This window comes from Homo sapiens, chromosome 15, assembly GCF_000001405.40.
Source record: "Homo sapiens chromosome 15, GRCh38.p14 Primary Assembly".
Lineage (NCBI taxonomy): Eukaryota > Metazoa > Chordata > Mammalia > Primates > Hominidae > Homo > Homo sapiens.
This window is the reverse complement of record NC_000015.10, coordinates 62,738,028-62,764,529: the sequence shown is the minus strand read 5'-3', so window position 1 is coordinate 62,764,529 and position 26,502 is coordinate 62,738,028. Positions and strand designations below refer to the sequence as shown.

At 43.9% G+C, this 26,502-nt stretch overlaps 1 protein-coding gene across 2 annotated transcripts in view, besides 3 other annotated features; it reads right to left on the bottom strand.

Annotated features, from left to right (window-relative positions):
* TLN2 (talin 2) overlaps positions 1-26,502 on the bottom strand; it is a 454,082-nt gene that overhangs the window by 80,102 nt on the left and 347,478 nt on the right. For both annotated transcript variants that reach the window (NM_015059.3, NM_001394547.1), the window contains 11 exons: positions 26,197-26,316; positions 24,985-25,182; positions 23,761-23,900; positions 16,086-16,179; positions 14,039-14,128; positions 12,103-12,225; positions 10,614-10,757; positions 8,837-8,998; positions 2,709-2,849; positions 2,077-2,258; positions 835-967 (listed from right to left, as the gene is read on the bottom strand). In NM_015059.3, the coding sequence (NP_055874.2) occupies positions 835-967; positions 2,077-2,258; positions 2,709-2,849; positions 8,837-8,998; positions 10,614-10,757; positions 12,103-12,225; positions 14,039-14,128; positions 16,086-16,179; positions 23,761-23,900; positions 24,985-25,182; positions 26,197-26,316 (1,527 nt within the window). The remainder of the gene's footprint in view (positions 1-834; positions 968-2,076; positions 2,259-2,708; positions 2,850-8,836; positions 8,999-10,613; positions 10,758-12,102; positions 12,226-14,038; positions 14,129-16,085; positions 16,180-23,760; positions 23,901-24,984; positions 25,183-26,196; positions 26,317-26,502) is intronic.
* Positions 4,839-5,636: an enhancer, noted in NCBI's record as "NANOG-H3K27ac-H3K4me1 hESC enhancer chr15:63051093-63051890 (GRCh37/hg19 assembly coordinates)". NCBI's record gives its function as "activates a minimal SCP1, AML or CMV promoter by ChIP-STARR-seq in naive H9 embryonic stem cells {active_cell/tissue: H9 hESC(naive)}" and the evidence as "EXISTENCE:reporter gene assay evidence [ECO:0000049][PMID:30033119]".
* Positions 5,637-6,434: an enhancer, noted in NCBI's record as "NANOG-H3K27ac hESC enhancer chr15:63050295-63051092 (GRCh37/hg19 assembly coordinates)". NCBI's record gives its function as "activates a minimal SCP1, AML or CMV promoter by ChIP-STARR-seq in naive H9 embryonic stem cells {active_cell/tissue: H9 hESC(naive)}" and the evidence as "EXISTENCE:reporter gene assay evidence [ECO:0000049][PMID:30033119]".
* Positions 20,816-20,971: a silencer, noted in NCBI's record as "fragment chr15:63035758-63035913 (GRCh37/hg19 assembly coordinates)". NCBI's record gives its function as "represses an EF-1alpha promoter that drives an FKBP-Casp9 reporter gene in an ReSE screen in phorbol 12-myristate 13-acetate-treated (for megakaryocytic differentiation) K562 erythroleukemia cells {active_cell/tissue: K562(+PMA)}" and the evidence as "EXISTENCE:reporter gene assay evidence [ECO:0000049][PMID:32094911]".

Here is a 26,502-nt window from a genome sequence, read left to right as displayed (position 1 = left end):
TTTGAGAAAACTTAATCCTTCTTTTTTTGGAAATAGGAGGGTGAAGGTGGAGCGAAATAGACAGCTCTATTAATAAAAATGAGCAATACTAACTCTGGGCCAAAAGCTGATTGTTAATGAATTCAGTGGCAGGAAGATAAACATCAATAAACAGACCATCCATGTTTATTAAGCACCTTCTGCAAGTCAAGCATTGTGCTTTCGGTAGAGATAGAAGTAAAAATCAGGAACCTTTGGACAGGTAATAGAAAAAGACCCAAAGGGAAAAAGCAGGAAAATTCCATTTTAAACTTTGGAAAAACAAGCAAGAAAGGGCAAAGTGGCTTTAAATTAATAATAGGATGCCAAAGTCCTCAAATGCTGGATATTGAATAACTTAGGGCAGAATCCTTGATCTCTGAACAGACCAAATGCATTCGTTTAATGCTGAATTGGCCAACTAACTAAAAAGCACACTGATGAAATACGACAACAGAGAATTATTCAAAATTTACATACCTAGGTCCACTCTACTGATGTGTTAAAACAAACACGGTACCCACCGTACCCCTAAATTACCTTGATATTGATATTTTCCCTCCAAATTTCAGCTACTTTTGAACTTTCCACCCCAGTACCTGTATTCCTTCCCCCAAGCCACCCTTCTCTACTTGGCATCTGCCCTACCCTCTCCAAAAAGTTCCCAGATTGGCTCCACAGAGAATGGCTGTCTAATGGTGAAACTCCAGCAACAGAAACATTTTGGCCCTACAACCTCTACCCCTCCAAGTCTGATGCTAAGGTTTTTCAACATATCTAGAGGCGACTAAGCAGGCCCCCAGATTCCCAGCTTACCTCCACAGAGATGTCGTCCCTCGTGGCCAGGCTCTGGCTGACGGCGGCCAGCGAGGCCTGCTCGATGTCCCGGATGCACCGGTTGATGCCATCGATGGAGTAATCACACTCCCTCTGTCCAGGGGCCTTGTCCCTGGAAGGAATAGTGCAAGTTGGACACAGGCTCCATGGGGCTCAAGTCCCACAGCCTGCTCCAGCACTGGTGGGCCAGGATCCCTGTCCACTTCCTCCCTGACACAGTCACCTCCTTTCAGGAGGAATCCCTGACCCCTGGTTGGCAACGTCTCACTGCACAGCCCATGCATTCCTTAATTTAACACTTCAGATAACTCTACTTATTTCTGGTGGAAAGAATATGGTCCTGCCCTCCACCTTAGGCTGATACCAGGCAACTGCAAAGGAAGCAATTTGGACTTGGATTTTCTATTCACTGGCTTAAGCACAGGACTTTTACTCAAAAAAAAAAAAAAAAGAAAAAAAAAAAAGGTCAGCACTGCTTCCAGTGCAAACATATTATGCTTTCTACATTGCATACTAGTCACAAAGTCCTGGGCTACAGTAGGAATTAAAACATGTAGTGAATTTTTCTTTGCAAGGCATTAAGAAATAAAGTTAACTGTGGTTTTGAGCTTCAAAAGCAACTAGGAAGCAAAATATAATTAAGGAAAGATGAATTTCATGCTGCGAGGTATTTACTGGTTAACTTCAGAAATGTTATATCTACTTGGGGATGTCTTTTTAGGCTCCCACTATCGACAAGGTCAGAGATGCTCAGAGTTACTGCAGGCCCTAGAATATTCTTTGTCTTATTAGCAAACTAACTGCAACCACAAATCCTGCTAAATAAACAACGGTGCTCAATGACTAAACTCCTAGATACGGACAATGTAGTACAGTGATTAGACAGCCATTGGGCCTTAAGGTGACCTTGGGGATATTACCCAAATTTTTCTGCCTAAATTTTTTCATCAGTACAATGGAAATAATGACAGTGGTACCTTATAAGACTATTGTGATGTTCAAATAAAGTAACACAGATAAAGCACTTGTAGTAGTATTTGGTATATGGTAAGTACTTAAGTTAGCAATTACTATTGTGACCAGTGCTTCCGGCCCCAAAGAGAAAAGAAAAAGATGATAATGATCAACAATATCACTATTAAGTAAAAAGCCTGGTGGGCTTATCCTCCTCCTTCCCCGCTGAGATGCAGGCTGGCAGCAACCTCCGGATGGGAAACTGACCTGATAGAAGTGATGAGACTCTTGATGGAGTCGGACACTGTATGGGAATGTCCAGCCAGTACAGACCAGGTGGGTGGGTCTTTGGGGTTGATGGCCAGAGAGCGTGCAGTGCGAATGAGGTACGATGAACTCTCCAGCATGGTCTTGGCTGAGACCAGGATTGGTTCCTGTGCCTGGGAACCCTGAGACCAAACAGCAGAGAAATCAAAGTCAGGGTCGAAGACATGAGTGAATGACGTGGGCCCTGAAAGGTCCTGTTCTTTGCCAAATCACCACCTCTGCCCTTTGAAGGAGACAAAGAGGGCAGGGAACCATGAAGACTGGATTACCAGGGGTCTGCATGGCGGGGACTCAAGCCCATGTTTGCCCCTTAAATAGCATTTTTTGAGTGTGACACATCCCAAGAATCGCCCCAAACCTAGGCAGTAAGATTGTTCTCTACATATATGTTATCTCTCAACAGAGGTGTAGTCATTGTGTTTCACTAACTGTGCACATGCCATCATTGACAAGAGTAACAGTAGCCTACATGTTGACAGAGAGAGCTGTTGGAGTTTTAACTAGTAACTCATTTGGTGCCACACAAAGTTAGCCAAAGACCTTAGTATGATGTTCCTGTAAACACTCCCTACCTCGGAGCTGATCTGGGCAGGAATGCTGACAAACTCAGGGTTTGAGGCGAACGCTGTCAGGTTCTCCACAGCTTCAATCAAGGGTGCGGTGGCGATGCGACACTTATTGCGGTTGTCTTCAGAGAAATCCCCATCCAGGGCCTGATGGGAGAAAACAGGGAGATTCTGCCCAATTGAGAAGCACAAATTATTTCTGAACCACAGTAATCACCTCTTAGTGAAAGAAGGTGGTTCAACCGGAACACTGAAAATCTCTGGTGACTTCATAAACAATAAATAGGAACTGATGAAAGAGACCCCTGCCATCAAGCAGAGGGGCCCAGTTAGATGTTGTGGAGAATTAAATGTGTAGCTCACAGGACAACTGACTCCACAGTCAACTTTCCACTCCCAGGAAGCAGAGACACAGATTTAAACAGCACCCTGCTCTTCAACGCCCCGTGACCCCCTGCACCAGACTATGCAGCGGGACTACTTTCCTCCTCACTTTTGAGACTACAATCCTTGGGATCTTTGCCTTCATTTTACTCAGATTAAATCTATTCTCTTCCAAACAATAAACATACCGTATTGTATTTTAAAGCAGTACTTTTAACTTTTTCTAAGTTTTACCTGGATATTCCCTAATGACTGATGGAGGCAAGGCAGGCATAACTGTCATCATTCTGAAATGAACACAATGGAATCTAATGAGAAGGAATAGATGAGAACTACCCCCAGCCATACAAATAAATCTCACAAACATCATATTTAACAAAACGGGCCACCCACAAATGGGTGCCTCCTGTACAATTCCATTAGTACCAAGTGCAAACACAGGTGACCCTCCTAATCTAGGGTGTTAGAAGAGCAGATAAGACCGGAGAGAGCATAAGGAAAGCTTCTGGGTGTCAATAACATTCTGTTTCTTAATCTGGCTAGAGTTACCAAGGGGTGTTCCACTTGAGAAAATTCACTGAACTCTAAACATAACGTGTTTTCTCTGTGTGTATCTTATGCTTCATAATTAAAAAAAAACAAAAACAAAAAACTAACAGCAGGTAACACAATGGCATTGCATGATCAGGCCTATTGCTGATTTACGGTCTGGATGGATAAGGATCCAGGAATGTGGCCTGTGATCCATGCTAGACTGCTAACAGAGGGTCAACACTTCGATGAGGTTCCCAGCCCTGGACTCTACCTCCTCAGGATCAAGACTGTTAGAACCTACAGCCTGTGACCCAATGACAGAAACCCTCCCTCCCAGCAAAAGGCTACACTTGACAAGGCAGTTATGTTTGCAGAAGAATGCAAATTTCCTTGTTAAATGACCACTTAAACTTTTAACTTAACCCTTATGAGCAACATATAAAGCCAATTTAGACAATTGGGATAAAAAAAAAACAGGGGCACTGGCATTACCAAGCAAAGCAGATCTGAGATGGGAGCATTTCTGTTTTTCAGTAGAGCAAGAGGAGGCAGCCACCGTTGGTTTGAAGGCGATTTCTGAATAACAACTACATTCCAATCAAGCCTTGGCAGCTTGGGACAATAATTACATACCCACAATGCTAATATTTTCAGAGGAATTCCCGCAAGCCTGGCTAATTTACTGTTTTTTGCTAATATAGTACCTGGCTTGCCTTGGCTCATGCCCTTCCCCCACCAGACAGGCCCTGACCCTACCCTCACCTCTCCAGTTCTGCCATTTTTCCAGGCCCAATGGAAACCCTTGCACGCCGGCTACTTCTTGCTCACATATAAAGCCTCATTTCTCACTACCACTTACATAGCTGGTAAATGTTGATTTATGCTGCCGGCACTGGCCACGTAGAAGTGAACCACTTTGGTACTGTGATCTTGTTGCACTGTTAATATCGCTCTGAAGTTTGGTAGATCCCTGGAGGTCGGGGTTTACCAGACTTCAGAGCAATTTGAGAACACCAGTGCGAGGCAGGGTGGGTGCCACTCAGCAGGAGCCTGACACAGATGGGCCCAAACACAGGCAAAAGAGTGAAGCAGGCTGATTGCAAGAGTGGACTTTGGAGTGGAAGAAACTCAGGTCCCAGCCCCACCAGTGGCTACATGGCTTTCTCCAATCATACCCCTTCAGCTGGGATCACACGACTTCCAGCTTAACAGGAGATGCTCAGCCTTCCCTTGGTGCTGCTCGCCCTTCCTGCTTCTTACCTCTCCAAGCTTTTCTCTTCCCCTTTCTGCTCCCACAAACCTCTCAGTCTATTGGGAAGAAGGGCAGCCAATCAAGCCACTAAGCCTAAGCTGAACTTCTTCAGACTAAAAAGATGACAACTCAAGGGAAATCTCAAGGAATGGTTTTCTAATTGTGTAGGTGTCACAGACAGCACTATTAGAATAAAGACAGGGTTTGTTTGTTTGTTTGTTTGTTTGGGGCTTTTGTTTTGAGCACAGGCCCTAAAATCATATTAACATATAGCCCATTGCTATTTGCAGGTCAAAGCCTTGAATAACATGAACTAGAATAGCAAGCCATATCAATCATTTTCCATTCTCAAAAAGGACAAGTTATTTTATCCAGAAAAGGCATCCGGCGTCAGAAAGGATAGTTTGCACAGGTATTATTTCACTTCTGAACTCTGCTTCCATTGGGCACAGCAGAGCCACTCAAGTAAACTGAATACTCAAAGCTGCCCAGTGGTGACATTTCAAGCAAGCATGAGAGTTTCCATGTCACAGAACATCTGGCATACCAGCCATAATGATGAAAGGGTAAATTTACTCAGCCATATTTCCAGGCCCCACCAGAACAAGAACACTCCCAAGCCCGGAGCCTGCTCCAAGTGTTCCCCCTTAGCAAAATACCACGGACATCTGGGAGAAACAATTTCTGTGTATGCACAAAGTCAGATTCATGGACTTTGGGGGTTAGAGGGGACCCTAAAGACAATTTAAGCTTAAACTCCCAATTCTCCAGACAATAAAACCAGCACCTGGAAAGTGACATGACTTGACAAGGTCACCTTGCTACTCACTGGCATGCCTCAAACAATGAACCGAGCCTCCTGGCTCCCTTCTCTCCTGCTGACCTTAGACAAAGGCAACAGAACAAGGAGTAAAAAGCCCAACAGCCTTTTTCCTTTTCCTTCTAAAGAAACCACTTTCCCAATCCAAACATAGGGATGACCAAGAAAGCATACTCACAGCCAAGTCAAATTCGATTAAAGAGAGCTGGATCGGGTGTCTGTGGTACACACTGAAAGTGCTTAATTGCAAAAACCCCGAGCTTTAACTCTGCTGTGAGGGGCAAGGCCAAACTTCAACTTCTCAGAAAAACAAACGCTGCTGTTGCATAATTTCTACTTGGCACCCAAATGTGAGTGACTGCACATTTAAAATAACATTCCATTCCACACATCTGATTCAAGACTAGGTAATGAGCTGAATGAAAGGAAAAAGGCAGGCAACAGCGTATGTGGTGACTCGGAGAGACAGCCGCTGTGGTTAGGGGTGTGCATCCTTCTACCATGCCCAGCATTTACAGCCATCCCTGGCAGGAGGCAGAAACACAGAAATGGATTCTCGTGGAGCCCTGCTCTGGGATTTTAAAGAGTGCCATCAGTAGTGACTGATGCCGATGAGCCACTGTGTGAGGTAATCTGCTCCTGCTCCCTCGTGCTTCTCTTGGTGGCTCCCCTCCCTTCTTCATGACTATAAGGGTGTGGCAGCTGGGATTTAGGCTTGGGCACATCCTCATGGTTAAAAGAAAAAAACAGCACTAAGCAGCATAAAACTTAAGAGCAATATGCAGCTATCAGGGCACCTGTCTTAAGCACTGAGGGAATTAAATATTCATTTGTTTTTCTGTTTGACAGAACACATAACCATTCCTTCAAACAGGAAATCTATTCAGTATATAGTACCATGTGCTACAGTGAAATGACCTTTACCACTTTCCTGTTAGTAAATTAAAAGCAAAGCTCATGGCTCCCAGCAAACCCTGCCACATGATGGGAATTGAAAAACCAGGCCCATTTCCACACGCGGAGGGGCAGCACGTTCATTTCTGTTCCTCTTGCATTGCTCCTCGTTCCCAGGGTGCGCCAGGAGACGGAGGCCTTTATCTTTTCCACGTTACAACCCCCCGACATTCCTCCCCTGATGTTCTGCACAGGCCTATCTTTTAGGCCATCACGAGAGCTCATTTGCTGCAGGGAATCGCAAAGAGGGTTTGACACTGTGAGGAGAATCTGAAAAGAACATGAGATCTTAACAGAGATGCTTTATATAGAGATAGGTCAGGATTTAAAACTGAAGAGGAGGCAGACAAGAAAGGGCTCCAGAAATTTCGACAGAATAAAGAGTGTCTTTCCTGTTTTTACTCCGTTGGTCCATCTAAATATAATGTTTTTTAACGACCAGAAAATGATTGATTTTAACTGAGATAAGCTCATTACACAGCAACCAACGATGTCACTGCTGTCAACTCTATCGCTCTTTCCACCCTTACCTCCCCAAACTCACACACAAGCCCTGCAAACACAGCAAGGTCTTTCTTCCCAGGCTGGAGAGATGACTTCGTCTCTCCATCCCAAAGAGGTGAACAGCATGCCAGGGCTGAAAGCAGGGGCTCTGGGGCCTGGGTTTGAATTCTGCCCCACCACTTCCTGGCTGGGTCACCTTGGTAAAGTTACTTAACCTCTTTGTGCCTCAGATTCCCATCTGTAAAATGGGGATAAGCACAGGGTGGTTGTATGGAGTGAATGAGTAACATACCTAAAGCACAAAATAAACATTTTTAAATGTAAGCTTTATTACTTCCTAATTACTGTGAACTATGATGGTAATTCAGGTAACCTGCCACCAGGATCATGGGGAACCTGGACACTGGCTTTATTCAACTTCAACTGAGCTTACTCTTGCCTTCAAATAGGGAGGGGTTTTTGTTTGTTCATTTCTAAAAAAAAAGACTCTTTGTTTAAACAGCTAAGAAGCTGCTGACTGGGGTGCGAGCCCCATGTGCTGACTGCCAGCTTCCAACTAGCGCTGGGCTGGGTGTTCTCTCCTTTTGCCTCTGCTTGGTCATCCTGTTGACTGATTTCTGCATGCAATTGCACTGGCTTTTTGTAGTCAAAACAAAATGAGGTGTGCAGTGTCCTATCCTCTGGAGAGAACTGGGAAAACTTCTCTTACTCTAGGACTGTCCCAGCAGCAAAGCCAAACCTCCTATCTGAATGAATACAAAACCCTTAACTAAAAAGTGTTAACTCCTTCAATGCCTTTCCCTTCAGTGGTGTCCAGGGTTTAACACAGAACTGGTATCTTGCCTCCCATGACAATGCTCCTTTGAAGGCTGGGGCTGTGGAGGGAGCTGGCGCGATGGTGCTGGGCCTTCTGCCTGCGGTCTGTTGTCCAGGCTGTGGCTGTTTTCTCACAGGTCAGCTGCCTGCTGCCTGCTTGGTCCTAGCTGAGGGCAGACTGTGTTTGTGGCTTCATCGCCCACCTACAAGTACTAAGGCCTAGTGATTCCCACTTGCTTCTTGCAAGTGAACCTGCCCACCCGCCACATGCCCATATACCTTAATGCAAAGGTGAATTTTTAATGAACACCAGATGCTCTATTTTTAAAAGTTGACGCTCCACTTAAAACATTCAAACAGCTATAAACAGAATTAATATCACAGGAATGATGAAAATGTTTTAAGTGATTTTTCCACAATCTCCCATTCCCTTCTCCTTCCACCTACTCTCTTGGTCCAGATATATTCAGCAATGATGGGAGAGCCCTCTACTAGCCCACCCAAAAACGCTGCAAGTAAACATATCATTTAAGTAAAATCAGGGTATTTGCTACGCAAGCACAGTGCTAAGAGAGGCCCTATAACCAACCCTTTCCCACCAGAGTTCTGTCCCTAAGCTCCTCATGTACAGAATTTGGGGAGGCCTCCTTCCCCACCATCTAAAAGGTTAGTAGAGCCCAAGCCTGTTGGTTTTTCAAGAAGAGTATCTCCATTAGTAAGGGATGCCTATTCAGTGACACAAACCATAAGACTGAATTAGAAGTTAAGCTTCACTAGACAAGGAGAGGAGTGGAGCTTAAATCTTGTTCCCCTTCCCCCGCCAGAACAGGAGTTACAGAGTTCAATAAGGCCGGTAGTCCAGCGACCTACCTTGATGGTCTTCACCAGGTTGGCAGTGCTGTTGGCGACTTCCTTGGCTGACTGGACGAAGTGCCTCTTGGCTACTGGGTTGGCCGTCTTGGATGAGGCGATGCGGCAGGCATTGCACAAGGCTGACGTGTGCTTGGCAACAATTGTGGCGGCTGACAGGACCTACAAAGCATGGAGCTAGGTTGGGGGTACCCCATGCTACAGTGCAGAGGGGTCCACCCCGGTCCTCAGCCCTGGGTTCCTGTTCAACTCACATGTTCAGAGCCTGTGTAATTACAAGCATGTCTAGTTCTGCGACCCTCAAAGTCACTCCAAGAAAGAGGAGGGCAAGAAATCTTAAGCACAGATAATAAAGAAAGAATAAGAAAAAAGGAGGTGCTGACATAGTGGTGGGATAGGCTGAGCCCCAGGTAGTCTTAAAGGAGATGTAATCAGTTAGCCTTTGGAACCCCAGATAGGAGGTCCAGGGTATAGCATCTAGACCAAGGTCTACACATACCCAATTTTAAGTTTTCTGGCAGTCACTTTAAAATAAGTAGAGAAACAAGAGAAATTAATGAAATAATTTCTTCTATTTAACTTGGTATATCCAAAATATTTCATCATATAACCAATTTAAAAATATTGAGATTTTACAATCTTTTTATCATACCAAGTCTTTGAAATTCAGTGTGCACTGCATATTTACAACCCATCGCAGTTTGGACTAGTTCCATTTCAAGTGCTTAACAGCCACATGTAGCCAGTGGCCACCATACTGTAGAGCCCAGATCCAGATGACAAAAATACATATCAAGGTGCAACAGCTCCCTCCTCATCCATGGAGGGCTGCTGGCACCTACTGAGGTGTCTGGCTCAGGAAGTTCCACAGGCTCCACCCCGCCAGCCTCAACTCATTTGCTTTCCTGAATCCACCTGTTCTGCTTTGCTGAGGCTGGTAACACCCCTTTGGCCTTGCTGGATGGGTAAGGACTCCCAGATACACCAGCTCTTGGGGCTGCTTTAGGTCCACATGGTCCTTGTGTTTCCTTCTTTGTTCAGGCCCTTCTCCTGCCTCAAGAACGTGGGCCCCAGGTTGATGGTGGGCATGCCACTAACAAGACTGCCTCCTCCACCCCCATTCCAGCCACTTCTCCTTCCTTGCAGTACACACTGTTTTAATAAGTGACTGGGACCCCGTGCCACTCAGGTATGAGAGGTGTTATGGAATGTCACATGTACTGGCTCTTCCTCAAATGTCATTCTGGCTTCTTTCTGTGCTGCAGATTCTACCCAACTTTGAGGCCCGGTTCAGTGCCGTCACTTCTGTGAAGTGAGCCCTGACAGCCCCCTTGGAGAATTAATCACACCTTCCTTTGCACATCCCTGGCACTGTCATCGTGCCCTGGTCATTGCATTTTCCAAACTTTGCCTAACACACTAAGAGCCAAGGGGTAGAAAACGGAGCCCTGCGCACATTGAACCCTTACAGCTAAGCACAGAACAAGCCCTCAATTCACGTCCCCTGAAATGAATGAAGACTCCTTGTCAATCTCACTGTGATTACTTCACTCCTTTTGCCTTCTGGCACCCCATTTCAAGGCACTTACAAATTTCCAGATTCATCATATTTTGCAATATTTGCTCCCACCTGAGTCATTATCTACAATGCTGGCATTTAGCTACCTTTGCAAGCTCTGAAAGAACAAGATTCTTTACTAATTTCTCATAGTCTCCCACAACTTACCTAGAGGAGCTGCTTAAGGGCTTGAAATCTTACATCCTCCCCAACAGTTACCTGTGATGGGCTGCTGCCAGGGTCCACCAAGTTCTGGCATGCCATCTGGATGGCCTGGTTAGCCCTGGCAAACTGGATGGGGTCCACCAGGCCCTGGTGGCCTGCCTGGCTGTTTGGATCAGAGATGCCAACCAAGTATGCAGCCTAGAAAGGGAAGAGAAAAACCACAGCTCAGGCTCCGTGCTCCTAGGTGAGCCTGCTGGGGATGATGGTCCGCACTACACATGCAGCTGTCACACTCAGGCACTCCTCAGTTCAAACTGGTCAAGGTCATCTCATCCCGCTCACCAATAAGGGTGTAATAATGAACAGGTTTATGCCAGCTTGACATACCAGAAGTAGTTTATCACAGGCTCATGGAACAAAGTGTCCTTGTTCTTCTGAGAGAGCCTCAAGAAATTCTTCTTTGGGGGCATGGATAAGGATGGATGCAGCCCTGACTACTCTGGCAGCCATCTTGTGATCACGAGGCTGCCCAGCCTCAGCATGAAGCTGACTCTTTGGCTGGCAGACAGGAGAGGCACAAAACAGTGGGTGCATGCAGACTAATGGTGTGGAGCTGCTGGGTCAGCCAACCGTGGAGCCTGCCCTGTCCTAGGGTTCCTCATCTCGTAGCTTACCGAAGCATGTCCTTATTGCTTAGGTCAGTATTTTCAACAGCAGAAGGGATCTTAACTTTGTAATTGAGTAAGATGGCCCAGAAAAGAAACAACAAAAAAGGCAGCATTTGGTTCCCAAGAGGACAAGAGGGCACAAGGGAAGGGCTTCTCTTTGCAATTCCATTTAGATGTGTCAGCCAAATAAAAAAGAAAAAATGAATCTGTGCATAGGAATTTTGATCTTATTTCATTTCTCCTGAGATCTGAGGGGAAGGATAAAGGTAGATAATTTCATCCCCTAAACTAGTGATGTTTCTCTGTGGTTCAGTAAAATCTTCTAGGTTCAAGGTAACTGTCAAATGATGAACGCTTTAAAGTAGATGCTGACATCTTTGAAGCTTCTGTCATGGGAGGTCAATCATCATTGAAAATACAGAGGATAGTCAAAGAAGGGCAAGGAATGTGCCATATCATGTCTCTGCATGATGGCATCTTATTTTTTTCTCTCTCTGATTCTAAAAAGAGCATGACATAACAGTTTCGCATTTCTAAAGCCTTAGCAAATTTAAATTATTTAGTGCTTATTTTTCTACCCCAAACAACTCATCTATAATAAAAACTTTTAAAAGGATTGAAAAGTTGGCCTCTGAACCTATATGCTGGGTCTGTACTGAGTCTTGCCATGCTCCCCAGCCTGGCCCATGGCTGCTCTGCTCCTCGGGGGTAACTGGCTCATGTTTTGTGTAAATGCCCCAGCCAGCACAGAAGCCACTGCCTTTCCCATGGTTTCTGTGGTGGTACTTGGAGAAAGAGGTGCAGCTGGAGTTCCCCCACACCTCCCACAGGGATCTGGCACAGGGCACATGGCTGCATCGGGACTAGCCCCTTACCTGGGCTGCAGCCTCTGTCAGCCCACAGAGAGCCTTGGATGCAATCCCCACACATTCCCCAAAGGCAGGGAGGTCTCCGGTCTTGGCATTCTGTGAAATCCCTGCCATCGATTCACCCAGAACCTGCAAAACAAACGGCCAGCAACATTCTCTATCCAGCATTGCCTCAAACCAAGGGGTAAAGGAGGCTACACTCCAACTTTAATATTCAAGGCAACTTAATTTGGAACATTTGACATTTTCTCCTTTATTTGGATTAAAAAGAGATGGAAGAAAATTACATCATTTCCATTCCACAAAGAGATAAGTACAATGAAAGTATAACCCCAAAGTTATCTGTATTCCAAGCAGTTAGAGTTAATATACACAGACAATATAGTAGAGTCTATAAAAGGCAACTCATGGGTGAATGGTCTAAACTGATAACTAGTTCCCAGAATATAAAAATCATATGCATCGAGCTGTAGGTGAGGTCATAATCAGAAAGCATGATACTCACCCTTCCAGATATCATTTGTCTAGTTACTGACAGTAAAATTTAAATAGAGATCTTTGTTAAGTATGTTTCCTAAATACTGTAAGAATTTTGCCTTATTTTGAAAATCACTGGTGTGGTGTATTCTTTCTTCAGAGATCTTTACAATCACAGCTGAAAGAGATTTTAGTGTTCAGAATCCAACCCAGAGTGGTCATGCATCCTGTACAAGGTCACAGTGAAGGTCACATGGGCAGGTACAGGGTGCCCAATGTAAATTTGGTGTTCCCTCATTATGCCCCAGGAGGGCTGGTCATATTTTCCTTGGCAACAATGATGGAACTGAAGGATGTTTTACCCTGTGGAGAGACTGTGGTATTGCCAGGTCTAGAACCCAAGGCAGAGACTATTTGTCAATAAGCCATCTTGGAAGGGAACAAATTCCCTAAAATTGCTTAGATATACAAAATAATCCAGTTTACATAAGGATTTGCAAAAAAGGAACCATTTCTTTGGATCTGAGTGTGTATGCATCTTTCCCTTAGACAATCCATAATTCCATAAAAGGTACTGGATGAGGAAATTCTAGTTTTAGCCCAAATCAAACAGAGTCCTTTTGACATTACCAGCACAGATGTTTCCCCGCTAGAATAAAAGTGACCATGTTTCAGCTACAAAGCCAGATTGCAACAGCTCGACATCCATTCTTCTCCCTTGCATTTGATTTTCACCTTCTGATTTGAAGGCATTCTCAAAAGACATTGGTATGATTACTACAGAGGAGTGTTTCTCAACAGTTTTTTTTTTTATTATTGTTCCACTAAGGAGCCTTTTATGTTTTTTTTCCTAATCAAATGCCAAAGAATAAGATTTTGTTGAGTAAGGTTAAGATAGGAGCAGGGTAACAAGCCATTATATTATCTTAATTTTTTTTCAACATCTCTCCAATGTCCTACCAAAACAAAACAAAACAAAACAATTTCACCCTCCTTGAGAATGCATGCCATGAATAGACTGCAAAAGAACACATAAGAGGATCCCACGTAAGTCAAGTTACTGAAGGACTTTCCAAATCAGTTCCGGTGTAGAAAATACACGATTTGACTTACAATAAGACCCATTTGTGAAAAAAGAGAGGAAATGGTTCTCAAAGTATGGTTCCTGGACCACAGGGGCAGGACCTGGGAGATAGTCAGAAATGTAGAATCTCAGCTTCCTCTCAGACCTACTGAAACAGAAACTTGGGGGTAGGCAATCTGTATTTAACAAGCCCTCCAGGTGATTCTGATGCACCGTCAAGTTTGAGAAGCTCCTGAGCAAAGGGCTCCACAAATAGGCTTCATGCTACATGTGGCTAGCCCTGCAGACCAGCCACAGGCAGATGCACAGAAGGCACGTCTAAACTTCTCCCCACATTGACAAGCAATGCTAACTTCTGACTTACGGCATAGGCAGTCTTACCTTGGAGTTTTCCATCACACTCTCAATGCAGTCAAAGTAAGAGAGGTCACTAACAGGTTCATTAGGATTGTCCAACATCCCCTTCACAGTCTACAGAAGAAGAACACAACATAAAAAGCAAGCAAATGTCATAGAGCAAAAGAAATTCAACATCAACTGCCAACTATCAACTCTCCCTCCATACACAAGTTTCTGGTCATGATCACTTTTACTCAGATGTTTGAGAATTTACATCATGGTATCATGACTTCAGATTTCCTGTTAGCAACACAATGCTCATTATAGGGGAGGGGGTCTCTGGTTAGCTTGGCCAGAGATGAGAATCTCTTGTTTTCAGTTTTGAAGGAGAAGAAACAAGGTAAACACAGAAGGATGGCATTTAAAACATATTAGAACATTAATACAAGGCAATACATGCGTGGTCAATTAGCACAACTTCTCAGCAGGATAATTCTAAGGAGTTTAAATTTCAAAAGGCCATTCATTTCTTCATGACCAGTAAGAACCCTCAGTTTTTCCAATTTTGGAACATTTTAATAGGAAGGCATGAAAGAAGGTAATTCCCCCAAACTGTCCATTGTGATGGTTCATTTGTTTTTAATTTAAACAGTATAGAAAACGTTTCTTGTTGTTTAGGTCCTCATCAAAGAAATACATGGGTATAGGGCCTGGCTCTGTGTCTCTAAGCCACCAAAAACCATGGCTAGCTCTGTCATGGCATTGTAATGAACTTGATCACCACTTGTAAGGGACTTTTCCTGGGGATGCAGCCATTTAACCTCCTCCCCAGAGAGTGAGAATGTACATTAGGACCCAGCAATCTTTGGGACACAGCCAACAAAAAGACAGTCATTTGAGTTACAAAGGCTGGTGGGGGGCTGGGAGAGAAGGAAGGGGAACTGCTGAGCTGTTAAAGATGGGAGGGAAAGAGGGCAGTGTAAGGAATGAGCTCATTTCATTCAAGAACCTCCTCCCACTCCTTGGATATTCAAAATTGTTCTATTAACAGCAATCCTAAACTAGTCATATTTTTCAACCAAGGATATCAATAAGGGACGGAGTACTGGCACCTAGGCCAACAGAGCTCATTTAGATCAACAACCTACATATTTATATTTGCAAATGTGAACACAGCAGAATAGGGTAGTAATTCAGCCAATGTAAGAAACATTCTCAACTGTTTTCAGAATGCTTCGGTCCTGTGATAACAATCCCCTTCTCATTTCCAGCTGTGCACAATGGCCTAGTGCCAGTACCAGGGCCTCAATCAAATGCTTCAGAAGCTGCAGTGGGTATTCCCACCATGCCAGACCCATGCTGATCATCCAGAAAATGGAACGTTCCTTGGGACAACCAACCCACATCTACTGAGATACTCGTCTGGCATCTCAATATAACCGGCATTGGTTAGGACATACAAGTAGGTACACTGATTTTATGTTTACCCACACACATTCTATGGGGATACATAACTTTTCAAGTATAAATGAGTATGAATATAAAATGAAAAGCACCCACACTGTGTTCTGGGCCCTTAGGGGCCCCACAGCCATCCTGACTGTGTAAGTACTGTTAGTCCTAGGATTCCTCTTACATATTCCCTACATGGTACAGATGCAGTGTATGGGAAAATCATTTTTACTCAAAAGAACACCTATCTCAGCCTCTAGCTCTCTCCCCATTGTTCCAGAATAATCTCTCCAATATTTTTTAGGTAAAAATTGCTGATCTTCAGCCTACACCCAACATCACAGGCCTCTTCCTGTTTGAAATAAAGAATCCTTTAACAAAATACATCTCATCCTACTGGAAACAGGAGAAGCAGGAATGATAATCCCACTAAATCTAGTTTCTCTTCAGTTTCTTTCCACTTGGATTGGAACTTTGGCCTTAACAGCCTCCAAGGAAAGATAAAAGGCAAGGACAGAGAAGAGAAAACTAGCCCTATAGGGAAAGAACAGACACAGACATAGACAGACAGACACACAGACACACAGACACAGACACTCCCTCTCTCAAGTCCTCAGCAGCCTTCCCAGGGACCTACCTCGAGCTCCCGCAGGGCATTATCGCACTCTTTCTGGCCCGGAGCTTGTTGGGTACACAGAGTGATGAGTTGATTGATGCTCTCTGTCACAGCTCTGTGACAGAAACAGAATTTTTTTTTTTTTTTTGAAGATCAACAGTAATTTCCCCTACAATGCTTTGCAGGCTCACCAGAAATACAATTAATTCACTATTTCAGCTCGGGTCCCCAGGAGAACTCTTCTGCAGAGGCTCTACACAACCAAAAATAAACCACACCCAGGGAAGACAGAATGAGAAACCCTACCTCGCCTCTGATTATTCATTTGCTAGATCTGGAAGGGGTCCTAATACAGTTGACCTTTGAACAACATGGGTTTGCACTGTGCAAATCTGCTTATAGGTGGGTTTTTTTTTCAGTAAAAGTTACACCAGTGTGTCTACCTCTCCTTTCTCCCCTTCCACCTCTTCCACCTCTGCCACCTCTCAGACAGCAAGATGAACCCCTCCTCCTCCGCTGCCTACTCAATGTGACGAATATGAGGATGAAGACCTTTATGATGATCCACTTCCACTTAGTGAAAAGTACATTTTCTCTTATCATTTTGTTAGTAGCTCAACTTATCATGGGAATACAGTACATAATACATTAACATACAACATACAAACTATGTGTTAACTGTTCATGGTATCAGCAAGGCTTCCAGTCAGCAGTAGGCTGTTGGTAAAGTTTAGGGAAGCAAAAGCTATACATGAATTTTTGACTGTGCAGGGGTCGGTGCCCCTAACCTTTGCATTGGTCAAGGGTCCACTGTAGTTCTCCTAAGAAAGCTAATACATTCATAAGAAAGAATTCACAACAAGCAAATAGACCATATTAGCACTATTTAAGACCCTTCATCAGCAGTCCCCATGGAACAAGATAACCCCATGGAACAAGATAAAAAATGTACAAAATATTTTGTACATTTTTAAATACATGGATATAAAGTGAACTGTGCCTATGATTTTAAAATTTCTTCCTTCCATTAAATTCTATATGATTGACTGGTTCCCAAAAGCGACCACAAAATTATTCATTAAAATAGCTATTTTCTTTGTTAACATTAACAGAAATAACCTAGGGACTCTTATATGACTTTACCTGTTTCTAAGAGGTAGCCCATAAGTAGATACAGAATTGGGGTGGAGTGTGATAAGAAAATTAATCACTTTGTGCTTTTGATTACCTATTTAGCACAAGTCATTGACAAGGACTCTGTCCCTCCTGGACAGCCGCTGTTTAATTTGTCTGAAGTAATGACATGGATAATTTTGAAAGTCATGGCCATTCGTAGTTAACTTTTTGTATAGTATAAGATATAGCTCATAGTTGTTTAAAACATTTTTTTTGCATAGGTAAGCCCCATAGTTCCAGCCCCATTTGTTGAAAAGACAATCTTTTCACCATTGATATGTGTTGCACTGATCTACATGGTCAATGTTTTGTCGATACCACGCTGTCTTAACGACTAGCTTTACACTAAGTCTTAAAATTGAAAACCCACGCATTTTATAAATGAAAAATCTGAGATAACTCCCAAAGAGCATGCTACAAATAAGCAGCAGAAATAAGACTTAAACTCATGCCTATCTGACTCCAAAACCAAATACATAATTCTTTCCTGCAGTGTCATAACTGGTCCACGCTTCTGGCAGGGCCCAGAATTCGACTCAGTTTCTAACCACTGCAGCTTTGGCAAGTTAAACAAAAATAAAATAGGCACATATTGCTGTTAATCACCAACACTAATATAAAAGATGCCTCATTTTATTAGTTAAATTGGCTTTGCAGCTTCCCACAGAATATCAAATTAGACAGAAAATGATGTTGCCAATGTACAAAAGCAATCGGCTTAATTATTTGATGAGGAGATACTGCTTTCAATTTCAAATTGAGCTAGGGTGATAGGAAAATTCTAAAATAGTTTTTGTAAGATTGACTCTGGTGATTCATTTATTTGGTGACCACTATTTAATTAGGGTGTCACTGGGAAACACTGCGCTCTCTATGGTGCAAAGCAAAACAAGAACAAGGAGACAGCCGGACAATCCCTAGTTCCAAGGATTGCGGAGGGTGTAGTCCTCAATGCGCGCTTTTAAAGTACCTCCTGGGGAGTCCAGCACCCTGTTCTACATGGTGGTGGCCTTGAGACACGCTTCTGAGATAGGCTGGCATATATCAACATATGTGCTATTTCCACATATCACAGAAACTTTCTATTTAGCTTAATTCTCTCTGTGTTTCCTGTTTATCTGTGTTTTTTAAAAAACCTTGTTGCTATATAAAAGTTTCTTCCATTGAAAACTAAGTGTTTATAATTGGTGAATCCAGAGGATATACAGCTGTGGGAAAGCCGCCAGTTTTCCTCAACTCTTCAACTTTTCTGTAGATGTAAAATTTTTTTCAAATAAAAACTTGGGACAAAAACCAACAGACTAAGGGTTTGTGGTTGGGTAATCCACAAAAGTGCCAGCACAGCATCGTGTGTCTAAGTGAGATGCTTGGGTAATACTGATCCAGAACTAAGAAGCATTATTTAGCTATCACGAATTCCCATAACTAATTTTACAGTCGGGATTACATGCTAAATACGTGCTAAGTGGTCCAGAGGCAAACGGTTATGTAAATTTGACAATGAAAAACAATATTTATGTTTTAAACCCCAGCAGCTATTTATAAGAGCAAAGAATACGGAGCAACTCAAATACGCAAGAATAGAGGATTAAATAAATATACAGCCCTCAAGGGAATCCTGGGGACCCATTAAAAGTCAGTGTGTAGCATATTACTAATGTCAGAGATGAATATATGTGTTACGTGATTAAGGAAAATAAAACTTACAAAATAGAATAGAATGGGCCTACCCCTCTAAAAATAAACATATATATGCATAGAAAATGATAGAACGACATATATTAAAAGGTGAAGGGACTTTATAATGTTATTTTGAAAGAAAAAATTTCAATAAATCTACCCCCCATTAGAAATTAATCAATTTACATTATCACAAAAAATCTGGCCAAAATTAGAAGGGTCTCTGTTCTTTGTAAATCCAAATAGGTCTGAAGTACAGTTACTTTTATTTTTTTTTTACCATCTTTTTTTAGTGATCAAAGCCACATAAGTTCATTTTTAAAAATACAAAAAAGCTAAATAACCATAATGCTACCTTACAGAGATAGTGTTTTCATCTAGGCTTATCTATCTACTCTCAGTTTCTAAAAAACTTGGGATCTACAACTTCAATGGTTAAAAAGGGTTAAGGTAAAACATTATTTAGTGTTCAGAGATGCTGAATAGGTTCAGTTGAAGTGTGAGAGCTCTGGCTGGAAGTTTTAAGTAGATACAGAAGTGGGGTGGAGTGTGAGAAGAAAATCAACCACTTTGTGCTTCTGATTACCTATTTAGCACAAGTCACCCAGTCAGGAGCTTAGAAGGTAAAAAGCAGCAGCAGACATCTGTCTGCCTGCCTCCAGGGAAGAGGCGCCTGGGAAAGGAGGAAAGAGCAAATCGAAATTGACCTTTCTGTATTCCCAGGGTCCTGTTATGTCAAGGCACAGAGATTAAAAAATAATCTAGGCCAGGCGCGGTGACTCACGCCTAGAATCCCAGCACTTTGGGAGGCCGAGGTGGGTGGATCACTAGGTCAGGAGTTTTGAGACCAGCCTGGCCAACATGGTGAAACCCCGTCTCTACTAAAAATACAAAAATTAGCTGGGCATGGTGGCATGCGCCTGTAATCCCAGCTACTCGGGAGGCTGAGCCAGGAGAATCACTTGAACCCGGGAGGTGGAGGCTGCAGTGAGCCGAGATCGCGCCTCTGCACTCCAGCCTGGGCGACGGAGCGAAATTCCATCTCAAAATAAAAATAAATAAAAACATAATAATAATCATCTAGCTGGGCATGGTGGTTTGTGCCTATAATCCCAGCTACTCCAGAGGTTGTGGCCAGGAGTTCCAGACCAGGCTGAGCAACACAGCAAGACTGCCTCTCTTTAAAAAAAAAAAAAAAAAAAAAATTAAAAATAACAAAAATAATCTTTTATGGCTCTCTAGGATGGCAAGGTGTTTGCAATCTAATGGAAAAGGCAAGACAATGAGAAGACAAGGTACAAAGAAGTTGGATGAAAGAAAGCAGTACCAGGGCGGGACACCCGGCAGGGCATGATGGATCGCTGAGCAAGGGACCAGAGGTATGTAGGGACTCGCAGGGAGCCGGAAGAAAATGAAAGCCTCAGCTGCCGGGCACAGAGTCTGCCTGAAAGGGAGGGCTCGATGTAGACTGAAGCAATTGGAAAAGTCAGGGCTGAGTGACATCCTGATTTGGATGGAGGGAAGGAAACATTCTAGGTAAGACCCACAGAGAGCAAAGGTCTCTTGTACACCTTTCTGTTTACGGAGCAAATGCACTCTTCTCGTTTGTGCTGCTTGCTAGACCATCCATCTTCACAGTCTTTGGGGACAGGAGGAGCCCCGTCCAGCAAGAACCTCAGACCAAAGGGGAGCCAGGGGGGCAGGTGCTACCTTGAGTTCCTAGGGAGCATCCTCTGTGGACTGGAAAGCAGCTGAAACCTGGCCCGGGGGTGTGATGCTGGCCGCTGTGGGCTTAAAGCCTTCTCAGTTCTGGAGTCCTTCTGGCCAGGATGACTGTGGTGGTGAGCAGTGATTCAGGGAAGGTGTTCAGAGGTAGGATACCCCCTTCGTTTTGGCAACTGCAAGCTAGCTTTCTATTTCCTTGACTAAGTTTAGGGGGCACCTGACCAGCCCCTGGTTGGGGGAAAAAGGCTGATGAATGGGTGACAAAGGGTCTCCAGCTCCACCCAACTTGTCAGAAAAGAGCCAGAACCCAAACAGTTACACGGGAAGAAAATGAACAAACCAGGCACTAAATAGCAAATGACTTCCTCTCCCCTAGGCATCCAAAACCAAGGGGATAGGTAGGGTCCCAAAAACGTACCCAGGCTCGGAAGCAGAATTAAGAACAGAGGAAAAAGACATCCTCTACTTTTTTCTCCAGAAGCAAACCTTTTCTTCCCAGAGCAAGAAGGACCACAGAGACCACAAATAATAAGGGGTTTGAGACTGTTAACACAGGAGTGGGACAGGGCTGAGTTGGTCCAGGCCTGGGTCCCCGCAGTGGCATTTCTGGGGACTTTGAGGATACACACAGGAAGGACAGGCAGGACCTGACAGTCTCAAGAACAAGGAGGACAGAGGACTGAGGACTGAGACTATGATGATCAGATCCCTTCTGCCCAGCTTCCTGTGCACTTTTATGCAGGACTGTTCTAGGCCCAGATGAAATGAGCGGAGCATGTGGTGAGTCCTGCCTAACTCCACCAGGGCCACATAATGAGGGTTATAAATACACAAGATATAAAGACACACATAATAAGACAGGCCCTGTCTTATTCACAGTGTGCACTCAGCACTGGGCGTCACCCACATCAGGCCTGTGATGAAAATCTATGTAATGAAGACATGAATGAATAAGACAATGAATGAATGAACCCCAGCCTGGCAGAGCTTTGTGTCCCAAGAGGAGCCTGCCTGACCCTCTTGACCTGGCTGGAGTCTCTGCTGAGAAACAGCCCCAGGGAGCAGAAGCTTGCCAAAATGTGCCAAAAAACCAAGGAGAATGTGCCAGCGTTTTCTCGCAACAGTTCCATCCCAAGACAATCATTTTCATGTGATGATTTTTAAGTGCTTACCTGGCTATGAAATCACCAGGCTGGGAATTCTCCGTCAACTGCTAAAAGCCAGGACAGAAAGGCAACGAAAGCTTTTTTTTTTCCCCTTTTCCCCATGTCCTTTCTTCGAAGCCACCACCAGGGGGCCTGCACCTATTCACAGAGCCATACACCAGCAATATTCTTTCCGGCTCTGTTTCCTTCTATATCTGGCTTTCAAAAGGGCAATTTATACATTCCCCCTCCTTCCCACAATTTAGGAGAGTGAAGCCATTCCAAGCTGGAAACTGTAATTTTGAAATGATGCAAAAAATTGAAGATAATGAAAAACATCTGAGTTCTGATACCTGGAAATGTCAGTTGCCTTATCCAAAGGCTCCTTTGTAGGAAAAAAAGCAACGATCAAGAGGGGGTTTTCTATCAGAAACAGCTGCTCAACAGAACAGACATCACCCCCAACCCCACCTCCCATCTCTCCCACCATCAAGGGAGGTCACTTATTTACTAGAACAGTCACGAACAAAGCATGAGATGGGAAGATAATTTTCCAGTCCCCTAGTGGCTCTAGCTATTGTTTGCAGTTAAAATGTACCTTCCAGGAATAAATGAAGAAACTCAAGGGTTTGCAAGCAAACTGCTCTGACAGTGTCTAACCCTTCACACACACACACACACACACACACACACACACACACACACACACACACACCCCACTACAAGCCAAGAGGGAGGAAGGACATGTTTGGACCATGAGTACCATGAGATCTTATGTGCTGAGAGCTAAGGAGAGCTTTAAGGATGATGTAGTTCATACCCCCACTTTGCAGATGGGAAAGTTTAGACAGGCTGAGCAACCTGACCAATGCGACTGAGTTAGTCAAGTATTAAAGCTTGGAATATAATTCAGGTCTCTTGATGCCGACAATTTAAAAAACAGCCAATGATCTCCCAGGGGAGACATAAAGACACACACACACACACACACGCGCAAATTTTAAAAAACCAAGTTAAAAAAAGGAAAGCAGAATCAAAGCTATGCTTTTCAAAAATCACGAATCTGCACATTATAAAAAGGCCTCCAATTACTCTCTATCCCCTAATAGTCCTGCTTTTAATCTCTCTCCACTGTCAGCTTTCTTATACGTAATATGATGGTAAATAATGCTAAAAAAACATGCCTGCACCACCACAGAATCATGACCACCCTACTCTCTGGGTTCAGGAAAATGAAAGAGGGGCTGCTGATACGAGAACCCCCTGGGCTGTCACTGCAGTGCTCCACATACCACATTCAACCACTAGTTACTGAACTAACTTGTGGCCCTGGAGCAGAAACTATACTGTTTTATCCACTTCCCTGGGTGAAACCAACAGGAAAGAAGGACACCCAAATCATCCAAAATTCACACTCATGTTTTAATATATTTCCAAAAACAATTTATTCCCACTGCCTCCCTACTCATCTTAAAGTGGAGCCTTCCCCATGTGACAGATACAACATGTTACATTCAATCTAACACTGATGCCAGGCACAGGGTTAAGTGCTCAATAAAAGTCTGCTGAATGACTTGATGAGCACTGCTTTTCATCTTTACGCTTTTCAGTATTTTCTGATGTTTCAAGAAGCATATATACTATTTTATAATCAGAAAGATATAATGCTACTTAAAAAAAATCTGTTTAATTCATTGCATTTACAAGTCAAAATGGACCTTACGTCTAAACAAGTCTCTACTGAAAAGGCTGTATGAGAAGACAGAAGATATTTTTAGTGGGGAAAGAACATGGAAATGAGCCAGTTTTATAAAATATCAGAGTGTCCATCACTCTCAGCTCCACCTCCCATGACCTAAGGACAGCACCAATTCTTTTGCTCAGCAAAAGTGGGAGGATGTCAGGCACATCTTCAGACTGCAATGACACTGTCTAACCACACACGAAAGCACATTGTGTCCCACTCCTACCTTGCAGCTGCAGCCAGGAGATTTTTCGCATTGGGAGCTCCTGGATCTACAGAGAGAGACTTGGCAGCTAACAGCAGCTTGCTGGATGCCATCGAGATATTCTTGAGGTTCCCTATCACTTGGATCTGGTCTTCTTTTGTCTGGAAGGTCAAAAGGAGCCGGAGCTATTAGGGCCTGTCCATTTCTTGAAGGAGGCATTCAGAGAGCTAGGAGCAGCATCCTGACATGCAGGCAGGTTATCCGTATAGATCACATTAAACCCAGTTAGCCCGCAGATGCCTAACTCGTTGAGACACTGACCAGTGTCTACCCTTCTCCAAACAGATGCTCAGATCAAGATGCATGCCACAGGGAAAGAAATCCATCCCCAAGTGGGTCAGCCAAGAGCTGTGCTTTTCTCACAACTAGAGGCATTAAGCGGGGAGCAGGGTGGGAGGAGAGTGAGCGAGCTGTGAGCCAATGCACAGACCAGGCAGCGATTCCAGCATCTTGCTCAACAATGCTGGAGTTGTCAAGGAGCTGTACATCTCGGCCTGGCACAAACGACCAGCACTGTCTCGATATTCAGAGCTGACTGCATCCCTGAAGTTCCTGACTCGGGAAAGCACACATTTCTCACCCGGTTGCCATCTGAGAAACAATTCTTTGTAGATACTAGAAGAAGATACACCCTGGTTATCTCTTTTAGGGAGGTCAAAGGAGCGCAGAAAAAAAAAAAAAAACAAAAAACACAGCTCTGCAAGCTGACACCAGATCAGTCAAGCTCCCTTGTTCTAAACAAGGGGTTTATCTGTTCATCTGAAGGAGGTAATTTTTAATCACTTGACACTCTGTATTAGACACAGACCATCTGAATGGTCCATTAAACCTCAAATACATATATATTTTTATTGTATTATCCCACATTTGAAGAGCTGTTCTAATCTTTGTTAAACATTCTCCCTCCTCCTACCCTCCCTCCAAATAGTAAGACTATGAATTCTGCTGGAGGATCGTGGGAGAAGTTATTCTTTATTACTAACAGCACCTCATGCATAAGCTGATAGCATCTTTGGGAATGCCATTCCCATGAGGGCATGAGCTTCCTAAGCAGCAAAAAGAATGCAACCATGGCCTGCCTGTTTCCAGGTTCCTTTTCCTATTTGTTCAGTCAGTCTCAAGGATGGATTATCCATCCGAGAGGAGAGGCTAAGGTCAACTCCAGACAACCACCTCCACACCCACCTGAGCTTGGCCAGCCATCTCAATGCCAGCATCGAGGAATTCATCAAAATCATCACTGAACTTTCCAGAGGCTGCAGCCAACTCTCCACTCTGGCCCCGGGTGGCATGGACCACTTCCCCAGCAGACTGGTTCAGATCAGCTGCTGCCTGGTTCAGTTCACTCTGGGCTTCCTGGAAAGGCTTCGTGCTTGGAGGTAGCTGTGGGGAACAGACGGCACACCCCATGAGACATTCTGCTTTGCAGGGGAGGGATAAAAGGAAGGTATTGTGGAAGGGAGACAGACTCTTCAGAGATGCATTTGAGTCATCACGATTAAAAGGCTCTGAGTCATCTGAGCCCATTTTATTAATAGGTTTGACCACCAACATATACATCCATTCATTCATTTAAATGTATCAAACACCTGCTCAGTGCTAGACACTGTGGATCTAAAAATGTAAGCTATCTACAGGGGCTCAAGGTTTCCTAAGTGGCAGAGACAGGATCCACACCAAGGCAATCCGACTCCAGGGTCCATTCTCTAAAACTCTACCCTATTTTGTCTCTGTTAAGATGAAAGCTAAGTTTTAGCTTTGTAAACTAAAAGGCAGATGCTCTCAAACTTCAAATCACGTTCTTCCAAACTAATAGCCACCAATTATATTAGTGGCCTTTGCTAATAACTTTTAAATGTCATCTAGCAGACTGATAACCATTTGTGAAAAGTTCTAGGGAGTTAAGCTAGACTCTATTCATCACCCACAAACATTGCCTCTATACCTGTGCAGAGAAGAAACAAAGATGCACCAGCACAAACCCTCCTTCAGCAGACTCACAAAGCAGGGAAGGGAACAGGCCCCAAGGTGAAATTCCTCAGACTACTCGCTCTCTCACTGAGGCTTGGACACACGTACCCTTCCAACACCTGACTGTCACTATCTGAGATGTCCTGATGAGAAGACAGGTGATCACATACCCCTTTGCCTGTCTCACCGGGACGATCCGAGAGGAAATGGCAACATGGGCTCAAAGAAAAAGTAAACTTTAAAAGCTCCACCTGGGAACTTTGTTGATCAGACAGCAAAACATGGAAAACAAAGACTGGCGGGAAAAACAGGACTCCTAAAGGAAGGGTTAGCTGCTCAGAGATCTCATGGAGAGAAGAAGACTTCACTCACACCTAACGCGAGCCTAGTCCCCCAGTGTCCTTTCTCAATCTAAGAACCTCTCACCGAATCCACAAGCAGCTTCTTGCTGGACTCCCCGATGCTCTTCAAGGCCACGTCCACATCCTTCTGCCCAGGGAGGCAATTTACGCAGTTATTCAAGGAGTGTGAGACGGCTTTAGCCACCTGAATTCGTGGAGAGAGAGAAGCACCTTTAAGTACAAACATTTCTGCACATTTGTTGGGAATGGGCAGTGAAACATGCAGAGCTGAAGCAGATACGGAAATGACCCACCAGCATCCACCTGCCACTCTTACCTGTCTTACATCACCTCATCCAGGCCCCTTGTCCCAGAGATGTTTTCCACCCTC